The sequence below is a fragment of the Homo sapiens genome, chromosome 1 (genome assembly GCF_000001405.40).
Source record: "Homo sapiens chromosome 1, GRCh38.p14 Primary Assembly".
NCBI classification, from domain to species: domain Eukaryota; kingdom Metazoa; phylum Chordata; class Mammalia; order Primates; family Hominidae; genus Homo; species Homo sapiens.
In genome coordinates, this window is record NC_000001.11 from 160,824,013 (window position 1) to 160,835,386 (window position 11,374).

The 11,374-nt window shown below is 44.3% G+C and overlaps 2 protein-coding genes across 23 annotated transcripts in view; one reads left to right on the plus strand and one right to left on the minus strand.

Annotated features, from left to right (window-relative positions):
- LY9 (lymphocyte antigen 9) overlaps positions 1-4,243 on the plus strand; it is a 32,082-nt gene extending 27,839 nt beyond the window's left edge. For 9 of the 16 annotated variants that reach the window (XM_011509549.2, XM_017001299.2, XM_011509556.2 and 6 more), the window contains 2 exons: positions 169-237; positions 3,736-4,243. In XM_011509549.2, coding sequence (XP_011507851.1) covers positions 169-237; positions 3,736-3,804 — 138 coding nt within the window. In that variant the 3' untranslated portion in view covers positions 3,805-4,243. Of the gene's footprint in view, positions 1-168 lie in introns of all 16 variants that reach the window. The other 7 variants (XM_017001301.2, XM_047420762.1, XM_047420771.1 and 4 more) reach the window with 4 other exon arrangements.
- Positions 6,148-11,374, minus strand: part of CD244 (CD244 molecule) — a 32,728-nt gene continuing 27,501 nt past the window's right edge. For 5 of the 7 annotated variants that reach the window (XM_011509623.4, NM_001166664.2, NM_016382.4 and 2 more), the window contains 3 exons: positions 10,039-10,104; positions 8,507-8,563; positions 6,148-7,415 (listed from right to left, as the gene is read on the minus strand). In XM_011509623.4, the coding sequence (XP_011507925.1) occupies positions 7,335-7,415; positions 8,507-8,563; positions 10,039-10,104 (204 nt within the window). In that variant the 3' untranslated portion in view covers positions 6,148-7,334. Of the gene's footprint in view, positions 7,416-8,506; positions 8,708-10,038; positions 10,105-11,374 lie in introns of those variants that run through there. The other 2 variants (XM_011509622.3, XM_011509621.3) reach the window with 2 other exon arrangements.

Sequence of the window (11,374 nt, forward strand, 5' to 3'; positions counted from 1 at the left end):
AGGAAGGTGTTGGAGAACCAGAGGCACCGTCCCCACTGCACTAAGGCAGCTCCCACCCTGTGTGTGAGATGGGAAGCCAGGGGGTATCCCCTCTCCTCAAGGGTTGAGGGTAAAACTGAAAAGCTCTCATGTGGTCACTAGGGCTCATCTGCTGTTGGTGTGTTACAGGGAAAGACCCCAGTTTCTCAGAAGGAAGAGAGCTCAGCCACAATCTACTGCTCCATACGGAAACCTCAGGTGGTGAGAACTACATTCTCTGTATCCCAAGGCCCACAGAGTGAGGAACTATTCCTTAGACCCTTTGAACTGAAAATCCGAGATTCCCATGGCTAAGGATCTTAAATTCTACCCACTATGCACCCCTCAGATACATTCCATGGTCAACAGAGATGCATAAACAAATATTCCTGACATCTGTGTGACCAAAGGCTGAACATTTCTAATTGATTTAATAATATCTTATGTTGGTTATTTTTAACACTGACCTGAATGACAGCTTATACACTCAAACAAGGTAGGGTCTTTATAGCTTTTTAAATCTATCTCTAACCCTAATCCTAATCTACCTAAATGACAACTTCTCAAAACCATTGAAAATTAGCTAACAATTTAACAACAAGAATTTTTGGAAAATACACCACCACCTACAGTACATTAGTTTTATTCTAGTGTTTAAAAAAATCCCAGCCGGGCGCGGTGGCTCATACCTGTAATCCCAGCACTTTGGGAGGCCAAGGCGGGTGGATCACAAGGTCAGGAGATGGAGACCATCCTGGCTAACATGGTGAAACTCCGTCTCTACTAAAAATACAAAAAAAATTAGCCAGGCGTGGTGGCAGGCGCCTGTAGTTCCAACTACTCAGAGACTGAGGCAGGAGAATGGCGTGAACCCAGGAGGCAGAGCTTACAGTGAGCCAAGTTCGTGCCACTGCACTCCAGCCTGGGCAACAGAACAAGACTCCATCTCAAAAAAAAAAAAAAAAAAAAAATTCCCAGCCTGGGCAACATGGTGAAACCCTGTCTTTATAAAAAGTTCAAAAAAAATTACCCAGGCCTGTGGTGGTACACACCTGTAGTCCCAGCTACTTAGGACACTTAAGTGGGAGGACCGCTTGAGCCGGGGAGTTCAAGGCTGCAGTGAGCCAAGATCATGCCACTGAAATCTAGCCTGGGTGACAGAGTGAGACCATGTCTTAAAAAAAAAAAAAAATCCCTTACAGGTAGAATTTATCATTAAATAATCATAATGATAATAATAACTGACTTGCTTTTATATGAAGTTTTGCAGTTACAATACCTTGATACACATTCTTCTTTGATCTTTGTAATACTTCTAGAAAAGTGTTGTCATCCACATTTTATAGCCAAAGAAACAGATTCAAGGAAGTTAATTTTGCCTAAGGTGACAAAGATAGTACTTGGAAGTTCCAGTATTAAGAACCATGAGGCGTTTTAAGATCATCCTGAGTAATCTTAAATAATTCACCTTGATCTGGCTGTCCATTTCATTTTCACTTTCCTGAAAACATCGTGTCCATTCATACTTTTGCTTTCAAATCTCCCCCAAATTCCCTCCCTATAACATATTCAAAAAAATATTTTTTAAAAAACTCTCGGCTGGGCGTGGTGGCTCATGCCTGTAATCCCAGCACTTTGGGAGGCCGAGGCAGGTGGATCACCTGAGGTCAGGAGTTCAAGACCAGCCTGGCCAACATGGTAAAACCCCATCTCTACTAAAAATATTAAAATTACCTGAATGTGGTGGCAGGCACCTGTAATCCCAGCTACTCAGGAGGCTGAGGCAGGAGAATTGCTTGAACCCAGGAGGTGGAGGTTGCGGTGAGCAGAGATCACACCATTGCACTCCAGCCTGGGCAACAAGAGCAAAACTCCATCTCAAAAAAAAAGAAAAGACTACAGTTGACCCTTGAACAATTCAGGGGTTTAGGAGTGCCAACCCCACCCCACTCCATGCAATCAAAAATCATTCTATAACTTTGACTCTCCAGAACTTAACTACTAACAGCCTACTGTTGACCAGAAGCCTTACCAAAAACATAAACATTTGATTAACACATATTTTGCATGTTACGTGTATTATATACTGTATTCTTACAATAAAGTAAGCTAGAGAAAAGAAATTATTAAGAAAATCATAAGGAAGATAAAATATGTATACTATTCATTAAGTGGAATTGGATCATTGTAAAGGTCTTCATCCTCACCTTCACATTGAGTAGGCTGAGGAGGAAGAGGAAGGGTTGGTCTTGTTCTTTCAAGAGTGGTAGAGGTAAAAGAGGTAGAGGAGGTAAAAGGGGAGGCAGGAGAGGCAGGCACACTCAGTGTGATGTTTATTGAAAAAAAATCTGCATATAAGTGGCCATGCAGTTCAAACATATGTTGCACTTATGCCTGGTGTTCCATTATTGGAACACTAAGCGTGTAGGAGTTATTTATATTCTACTGCTCAAGATCATCACCAGGGTCTGATTTTTCACTCATGCACAAATTCAAAAAATTGCAACCTCCTGCGTAAATGGGTTAAAGTTACTTGACTACTTAATAAATTGTATGCACAGTTCCTAAGGGTTTTTCAGAAGCTGAAGGTGGGGGATATCACTGCACTGTGGTAAAGAGGAAACACATCATGAAAAAGGAATTTGGGTTGGGCCTTAAAAGATGGATAGAATTTGCTCAGTAAACACTTGTTGGGATGTGTGGTTTGGTTCAACCATCATCCATCTCATCCTGACTTCTAGACAGTAGTCTAATGCTTAGCCAGCTAGAGACTTTGCCTTGGAACCTAAGGCCAAATCTGTGCTGTTCACTGCATTCCCAGAGCTGCTTTCTACTCTGGCCTGGCCCTTTGTGTTTGGGTCAATACCGGTCAAACTTAAAGTCAGTCCCTGCTCTGAGTTTCAGAATGACCACCACATGTCTGGTCAGTCCTGCAAGGCACACACACTACCCTGGAGACTGAGACCCCTGAAACCACCTCACTTACAGTGTAAGTTGAAATCATTGCATTTCCTGAGCCAAACTCTTGACAACTATATCTTTTGTCTTCAGAATTGTCAGGACCAGGAATTCTGGTTTTGGATCTCTGAAGGCCATTATTGCCTACTTGATCTGGAAATTCTCAAACCTACTTTAGTTCTTATTTCTGATATACCTCTCTGTACAACATCTCAAAGGTTTATGCTATCCCCAAGCTGTTGCTGGTACCCAACCTCCCGCTCCTCTGGGTCAGCACAGAGCTTATCTGCTCTTTAGAGCCTTCCCTGAACACTCTCAGACAGGGAAGCCTAAGAACCCTTGGGAACAGCTTGGGGACTAATGGTCTGGACCATTACTTTGGAACTTAACCTCTGCCATCTAAATTATCTTCTTATAAATGTTCGTTTTGTTTCTCCAGCTAGGGCAGAGATTGGAATCATTTGACAGTAGCTTCGTGAGGGCAAGCCCCTTCATTGTCATTTTTTTATCCCCTGGATTTGCTGCACTAAACTGTCTTGTGTTGTCCTTGCAGAGAGTCCAGCCCACAGCCTTTCCTATTAGGAGCCTCCATAAATGCTTGGCATCAGGCTGGTTGATTGCGCCATCCCTGGGCCAGCACATATGACTCTACTTCTGTAGGATGGACCAGTCATAGCCTGGCCTTGCCTTCCTCTTTCATCAGCCTCACTCTTCCAAGGCTTTATTAACCATATTCTTTTGTGGATTTTTGGCTCACAGGTGGTGCCACCACCACAACAGAATGATCTTGAGATTCCTGAAAGTCCTACCTATGAAAATTTCACCTGAAAGGAAAAGCAGCTGCTGCCTCTCTCCTGGGACCGTGGGGTTGGAAAGTCAGCTGGACCTCATGGGGCCTGGGGCTCACAGACAGAAGCACCTCAGAATTTCCTTCAGTGCCTCAGAGATGCCTGGATGTGGCCCCTCCCCCTCCTTCTCACCCTTAAGGACTCCCAAACCCATTAATAGTTCAGACACAGGCTCCTTCTTGGAGCCTATGGGCTTCAGATGTCTTTGCCCCATTTGTCACCTCGCACACTTATAGCGTTTCCTCCTCGAAATTCTACCAAGACTGGTCAAATGTTGCTGAGGGGCCTGGACCAGCTGTCCTTTACACCACCTTCTCAACACTGCTGAAAAGAACCCAAGAGAATTGTCACACATGACACAAGATGTACATAATATCATGCTCACTGCAGTGTTATTTAAAATAAAAGGCAGGAAATAACCTAAATGTCCATTCATTCAGTGAGAATCCAGTTACATATATGATTATATACCCATGCAACGGCAAACCCTGCCGCTTGGAAAGCAAGCAAGGACTAATAGGTGCTAATATGGAATGGGCTCTAAGATACATTATGGAGTGGAAAAAACAAAGTTCAGGACCATGTGCATTGTATGCTACCAGTTGGATTTAAAAAAAAAAATGTATGTTGGCCAGGCACGGTGGCTCATGCCTGTAACCCCAGCACTTTGGGAGGCCAAGGTGGGCAGATCACTTGAGGTCAGGAGTTCAAGACCAGCCTGGTCAACATAGTGAAACCCCGTCTCTAATAAAAATACAAAAAAACAATTAGCTGGGCATGGTGGTGTGTGCCTGTAATCTCGGCTACTTGGGAGGCTGAGGCAGGAGAATCACTCGAACCCAGGAGGCGGAAGTTGCAGTGAGCAGAGATTGCGCCACTGCATTCCACCCTTAGCAACACAGCGAGAGTTCATCTCAAGAAAAAAAAAAGAAGAAAGAAAGAAGAAAGAGAGAAAGAAAGAGAGAAAGGAAAGAAAGGAAAGGAAAGAAAGAAAGGAAGGAAGGAAGGAAAGAAAGAAAGAAAGAAAGAAAGAAAGAAAGAAAGAAAGAAAGAAAGAAAGAAAGAAAGAAAGAAAAGAAAGAAAGAAAAAGAAAAGAAAAGAAAAAATGTAAGTCTACATGCTTACATAGGCATAGAAAAGCTATGGAAAGAAATACAAAAAACATTAGTGGCTGCCTCTGGGGAGGAACTGGGAATCTCAAGTTGGGAAAGAGACATTTTTTACTGCACAATTTTTTGTACTGCTGGATTTTTTTAAAACCATATGTGTGTATTACTTCTTTGCTATTTTGTAAAGGTGCTTAAAATGCCTGTTTCAAATAAGCCTCCCATATTTACCCAAAAGAACTTCCCTTCTTATTGTCCAGTCTGGACACAGAATACCCACAGTATCTCTCCCTAAGACTGTGGCCACAGCCCTCTCCTCTGCCTGTAAGATGCACTATACTTGACTTATATTCGTGATACTCTAGTGTACATTTCTGTTACCATCACCTTGCAGCCCATCTAGGTCCTTTAATTGTGTGCTGCCTCTGTCATGCTCTCCTGCACATGATCCTGAACTCAGTATGGCTTCTGTCACCTGCAGTGGGTACTCCCAGGAGTTCAGGCAGTGCTTCATACACAGCAGGAGCTTAATTACTGCTTGTTCATTGACTGGCTTGTTGCATGGATAATTATCTTTGTGAGGCATTGTCACGGAAGCTCAACAATCAGACACATAACATGATGACCTTGTACATCTTTCTTTCTAGAATACAGCATCCTCAAAAGCCCTGACCCCATAGGGTCTCTTCTGCTCCTTAAATAAATCTGGCCAGTTCAAGATCTATGCAGGACACATGAAAGGCCAGCAGCAGTCAATGGTCAGAGTCCCTGGTGTTCATCTGGACTGTTTCTGAACCCCGTCATTTCCTGCTGCCTCTACTCACTAAACTCCTTGACTCTGCAACTCAACTCCCAGTACCTGCCTTGGACCCCCAGGCTCTTTCTGAATATATTTGCCTGGTTTTTAAGCTTCTCACTTGCTTTAAGATGTGGTCTGTTCACACTTCTCTCCAGGAGGAAACCAGCCTGGCCAGCAGCACAGTCTCAGGGGAAAGGGATCCTGCAGGATGTGACCAAGTGAGTGCCTTGGCTCTCCTTCACAAGATGGAATAGCCCCTAGTGTCTAGTTCTCTGCTGTCCCAGTGTGAACAGGGCTGAAGGACACTGCCAGCTCACCAGGAAGTCAGACCCTCTACAGCAGTGTTCAAACAGACATGTGTTTGTTGATGGCCCACAAGTGCCCTTCGGCTGCTATAGAGAATAAAAATGCAGGGTATGGAGAGGATACATAAATTTAATTCAGGCAAGGAATTCAGACTGCATCTGCATGATATCACCGTTTTATATGAAACTCCTATGTTAGATACAGGGTAGGAAAATTGAAGAACCAGGCTTTGTGCAGTATCACCTGTTGGGGTCTCTGAGTAAGTCCTCTCCCAGTTCACCCTTGTCGCTTTCCTGGGCTCAGCCAGAGTCACAGCCCTGCTCCCCACAGCCTTGTTGAAATGTCTGGCCTGACGACTCAGGGAACCCAGCATAGTGTCTAGATTCCAACTGCCTCATTCTCAGCCCTCAGCTGCCTGAGCCCTCCCTTCAATGTGCATCCTGGGGAACACTCATCAGGACTCAGAACTTAAATAGAACATGGTTTCTGAGAGGCCTCTTCCTCTGGGAAGCCACTTCTATGAAGAAGCCAAATGGATTTCTAACAATGCGTCTTCATAAATCAAACATCATACCATGGACAAAGCTGGTCTCAACACCCCAGTTATCAGGTCAGCATGTGCTCTGGGTGATTTTTCTACTTAGAGATGGGCTTGCTTTGCACCATCTACTCTCCCTTCAGCCCACTCCCCCTGGTGGCCAACTGGCCAGAGGTAAAGGTATGAGATGCAGGGAGAAAGTTTTTTCTCTGCAATTGAGTAAAGCCCAGGCCCTGGCCCCCACCCACGTGCAGAACCTGCCAGCCAGTTCACAGCCGGACAGTCCAGGCTTTCAGAGGAGGGCTGTTTCTTCTTCCCCTGAGTCACCATTATCATTCCTTCCTCTTGCTTTGGAAGATGGGCCTGGGCCGGCGAGAGTCTAGAAATGCAGTCAACCCAGAGAGGGGAGAAAAGGAAACAAGTGACAGCTTGAAAATCAGGTGGAGGGAATCTCGATGCTAATAACATCACTTACATAACACTTTCTAGATTACAAATACTTGGAATGTGGCCTTTTGTGAACAACCTAACCCCTCCACCCATTCATGTCTGATCTGTAAATTGGAAGATATTATTTAACAGCCTTGCTCTTATCATGGTTGTTAGACATCATTTTCAAAACAAAATATAGAACAAGAACAAATTTCCATATCCTCTCCAGACTAGGAACTGTTCTATAGAGACTCCTGTGCCGTCATCCACTGTGCCAATTCCCAAAGCAGATGCTGATGTGCAAGAAAGGTGAGAATTGCTGCAGCAACTAGGAATAAACATCAAAGTTCTCCAGCTCTTTGCGGCTCAATCGAGCAGGGTTCTGGGCTTTAGGTTGACTCTTTCCAATCTGCAAAAGAAAAGGAGAAACTTCAGACCCTTGCACTGGGAGGTCCTTATCACAATCCTGTGAGGTATGACTTGCCATCCCCATTTTACAGATTTAAAAAATGAAGCTCAGAGTGACAAAACAAATTACTCAGGATCCACGACTAGTGTGAAGTGCAGGAGGGACTTGAATCTAGTTCTTCTGGCTCCAATTCCAGTACTCTCTTAACCACATATGCTTTTTCATGACCTCACAAGCTACCTGGGTCTACACAGTGCCCTCTATGACCCTGGGTTGTCCAGTTGGCTTTAATGTTGGGTGATAGCTGAAGTGCCAGGAATTCCAGCAGGCAGCCACCCATCCCTCCCTTCTGACCAATGGCAGCATCTTTATTGGACCACAGGTGGGGAGGCTCAGGTGTAGTATGAGGCTAATGGGTAGTGGGGGAGGTTGGGGGATGCTCTCCATGCCTTAATTTCTCTGAGTATAAATGGAAAGTATAATTATACCTATCTTGTAGCATTCTGTGAGGACTAAATAAAATAATCCATGTGAAGACACTGGCAGGCTACCTTATCCATAATAAACCCCCAAGAAATGTTGAGTCCCTCCTTTCCAGTCCCTAAATGCTCTGATGGGAATCAATTCAACCACCAGGCTCAGTGGTCATCTCTGAACAGTGTTGACCCCTGAAGAAGATTAAGCTCACCTATGTCCTGGAATGGCTCCCAAAGACTTGCTAATTTTAGAAAATCATTTAGAGTCCTTTATCTTCCCCTCTCTGACCCCTCCTCCGAACACTCTTGGAAAGGAGAGATGTCCAGTTTGTGGCCCACAGCCTGGGAACTAGCTCGGGGACGGCCCTAATTTAAAACCCAAGCTGCCCAGTAAGTATCATATCTAAACACGCAATATGATCTTGGGTCAGACCCTCACTCTCCTTGGGCTTCAGTGTCTTCATCTCTAAAACAAAGACTTGCATTAGAAGATCTCTAAATTCCCTACAACTCTGAGACTGTGTGAATGATCTTTTCCTAAGTGTACCCTTTCATGGCTAGATTTCAGGGCTATGCAACAGACAGTAAACCCATTGAGGAGTTCCAGAATCTTACCACTTCATAGATAGTGCTATTGAAGGAAGGGCTGTGGTTCCTCTTCCTGGATCCAGACTAGAAATTCAGAAGGTAAAGAATACTTAACTTCGAGATAAGTGCTCTCCCACTCCTAAGTGATGTGAGAGGTCCCAAAAGAGACTCAGGGCCCAGAAAAATTCTGAGGCACTCTCAGCCAGAAAATGAATAGAATCTGTCACCCTAGGAGCAAAACAATGGTGTTTATGGTCTCCAGGGAAGACACAATATATACAGTATTTGCCTATAATATGATATTTCTGAACCAAAATCAGAATTTGCTGTTCCATACCCACATACACCTAAAACCCATACACATATGTGTGTGTGTGTGTATATATATATATATATACACACACACATATATATACATATTTGTGTATATATATACACACACACATTCCCAGAGCACACACACATACACATACACATACACATACACATACACACATATCCCTCAGGCAATCCTAATGCAAATACTGCCCCAAACCATGTATCTCTTCAACGCATGCATACACACACCCTTAATGTAAACAATCCAGGCATATAAATAATTGCCAACCCAAGGACACTAGAATTCAGAGGCACATTCAGTAGCATATAGAGTTTACATACACCAAAGCAGGTGAACATGGTGCCTGTGAACATCTATATGGCCTTATATTGTAGCATATAATTAAAAACAAATCTCTCTCACGATGGGATCCAAGTAGGTTGAATGGCTTATTGGAAGGAGGTTGAATGAAAAGTCTGAAAATCTGTCCTAAACCCCTTCAAACCTGTGGTCCCTGACCTGCATGGACTTCCACAGTTGTGTGGACTCCCAAATTCCCATACTACCATGTTAAGGCTTTCTGGCTTCACACTGTGGCTCCAGCCTTGGGAACACCACTCTTCCCATCCCCTTCCATACAAGAGAAAAACAATGACCATGTGTACCAGGATACCCAACTCTGTTTCCAAGTACACAAGAGAGCTACGAACTCAGCTTGGAGAAGGATTTCAGTGCAAAAGGATGGGTTGCCTCAGTCCAGAGGCCTCCACCAGCAGGTGACTGACTGGCCAGGACCTTTCTCTGGTCTCTGAAGGTCAAGATTGTGTCTCTCTAGATCCAGTCTACTCCTCCAGCTCCAGGCAATATGCCCTGCCTTGCAAACCCCTCCAGTATCTCTCACCATAGCCTCAGCTGACCTACTAAGTACCCCGTAGTCTCTCTGTGCAAAGCACCTCCTTTCTGTCTCTGACTGTCCTTTACCTCCCACAGAAACTCCCAAAAACTCATCTAGTCTACTGTTCTCTTAGTCTAGAAGCTGTTATTTTTCTCCAGACAGAACCAGTAAGGCATTTCTCATTGGCCCATTGACATTTAAATACAGTCATTTAACAGAAGCTACTCAGATACACACAATAAAGAACAACTTGCCAGGATGTGCACACACACTCTCACTGCAAACACATGCAAAATACACATCTACATCAACAACACCCCACCACCACCACGGGAAGAGGCTCACCTTCCTGGAAGGCTGAATTAATGAATATAATGTATATGCAGGTTCTTGTGACGTGGGAGCAGAAGACTAATGAGAAGAGAAATAAAATCATTTCAGAAGCACAGATCCAGCACAATCTTACAAAGGTTATCTCTTCCGTTTCTCCTCCTCAACCCTGCCCAGATGGAAGCTTCAAGTGTTAGTGAAAAGAGCCCTGGACTAGCCAGGAGGTCAGACAACCTGAGTGCTAGTCTCGCTCTGTCATTAATGAAAGCTTCTATTTGTTGAGCATTTATCTTATACATGTATTCTCCTCTAACTGTTTTTTTGTTTATTTGTTTTTGAGACAAGAGTTTCGCTCTATTGCCTGGGCTGGAGTGCAATGTCTCGATCTTGGCTCACCGCAACCTCTGCCTCCTGGGTTCAGGCAATTCTCCTGCCCCAGCCTCCTGAGTAGCTGGGATTACAGGTGCCTGCCATCATGCCCAGCTAATTTTTGTATTTTTAGAGACAGGGTTTCACCATGTGGGCCAGGCTGGTCTCAAACCCCTGACCTCGTGATCCGCCCGCCTCGGCCTCCCAAAGTGTTGGGATTACAGGCATGAGCCACCGCGCCTGGCCTCTTCTCTAACTCTTTTAACACTCCTATAAAATAAGAATGATCATAATTTGCCCCATGCCACAAATGAGGCTCCAAAAGGATAAATAGCCCAAGTCAGGCAGTGCGTACACAGTAGAAGCAGAATTCAAACCCAAGACTCTCCAGGGCTCTTTCCTCAACACCTCAATGCCTCCCTTTGGCAACTTGCCTCCCTTCCCTGGACTGGAACCAGGTGTCCTCTAAATCAGGTAAACATTCTCCTTTTAAGATGCTCCAGAGGAGGACTGTCATTCTCACCCAACACCATAGTTTGAGGGGACCTCTTTCTTGCACTGATAGAAATTCCTCTCATTGGAGTTCAATGTGGCTGAAACTAGAGAACTGGCAGATATCAACCGCTCTTATAATCAGATTTTCTTTGCCCCACAGCTCAGCCACCAAACTGAAGATGGTGCTCAATTTTTTTTTTCTTTTTTTTAAAGCCATTTTTATCAGAAAGTCTTTTATTACTGGCCACCAGGAGGCAGTGTTTCCCTTGGGAGAGATGTCCCAGCCTGGGTTATCAATGTCATTTTAGCCATCAGTATTAAAGGATGCTTCTCCAGTTTATGAGTGAATTTCTGTAATCCCAGAATATAAGAGGTGGAGTATGAGGAGGTGCAATGGAGACTCAGAAACCCTTTGGCTCAGCTCTGCCACTACCTAGCTATGTAGCCTTGAGATATCAGTTGACCTGAGTCTCGGTTTCCTCATTGT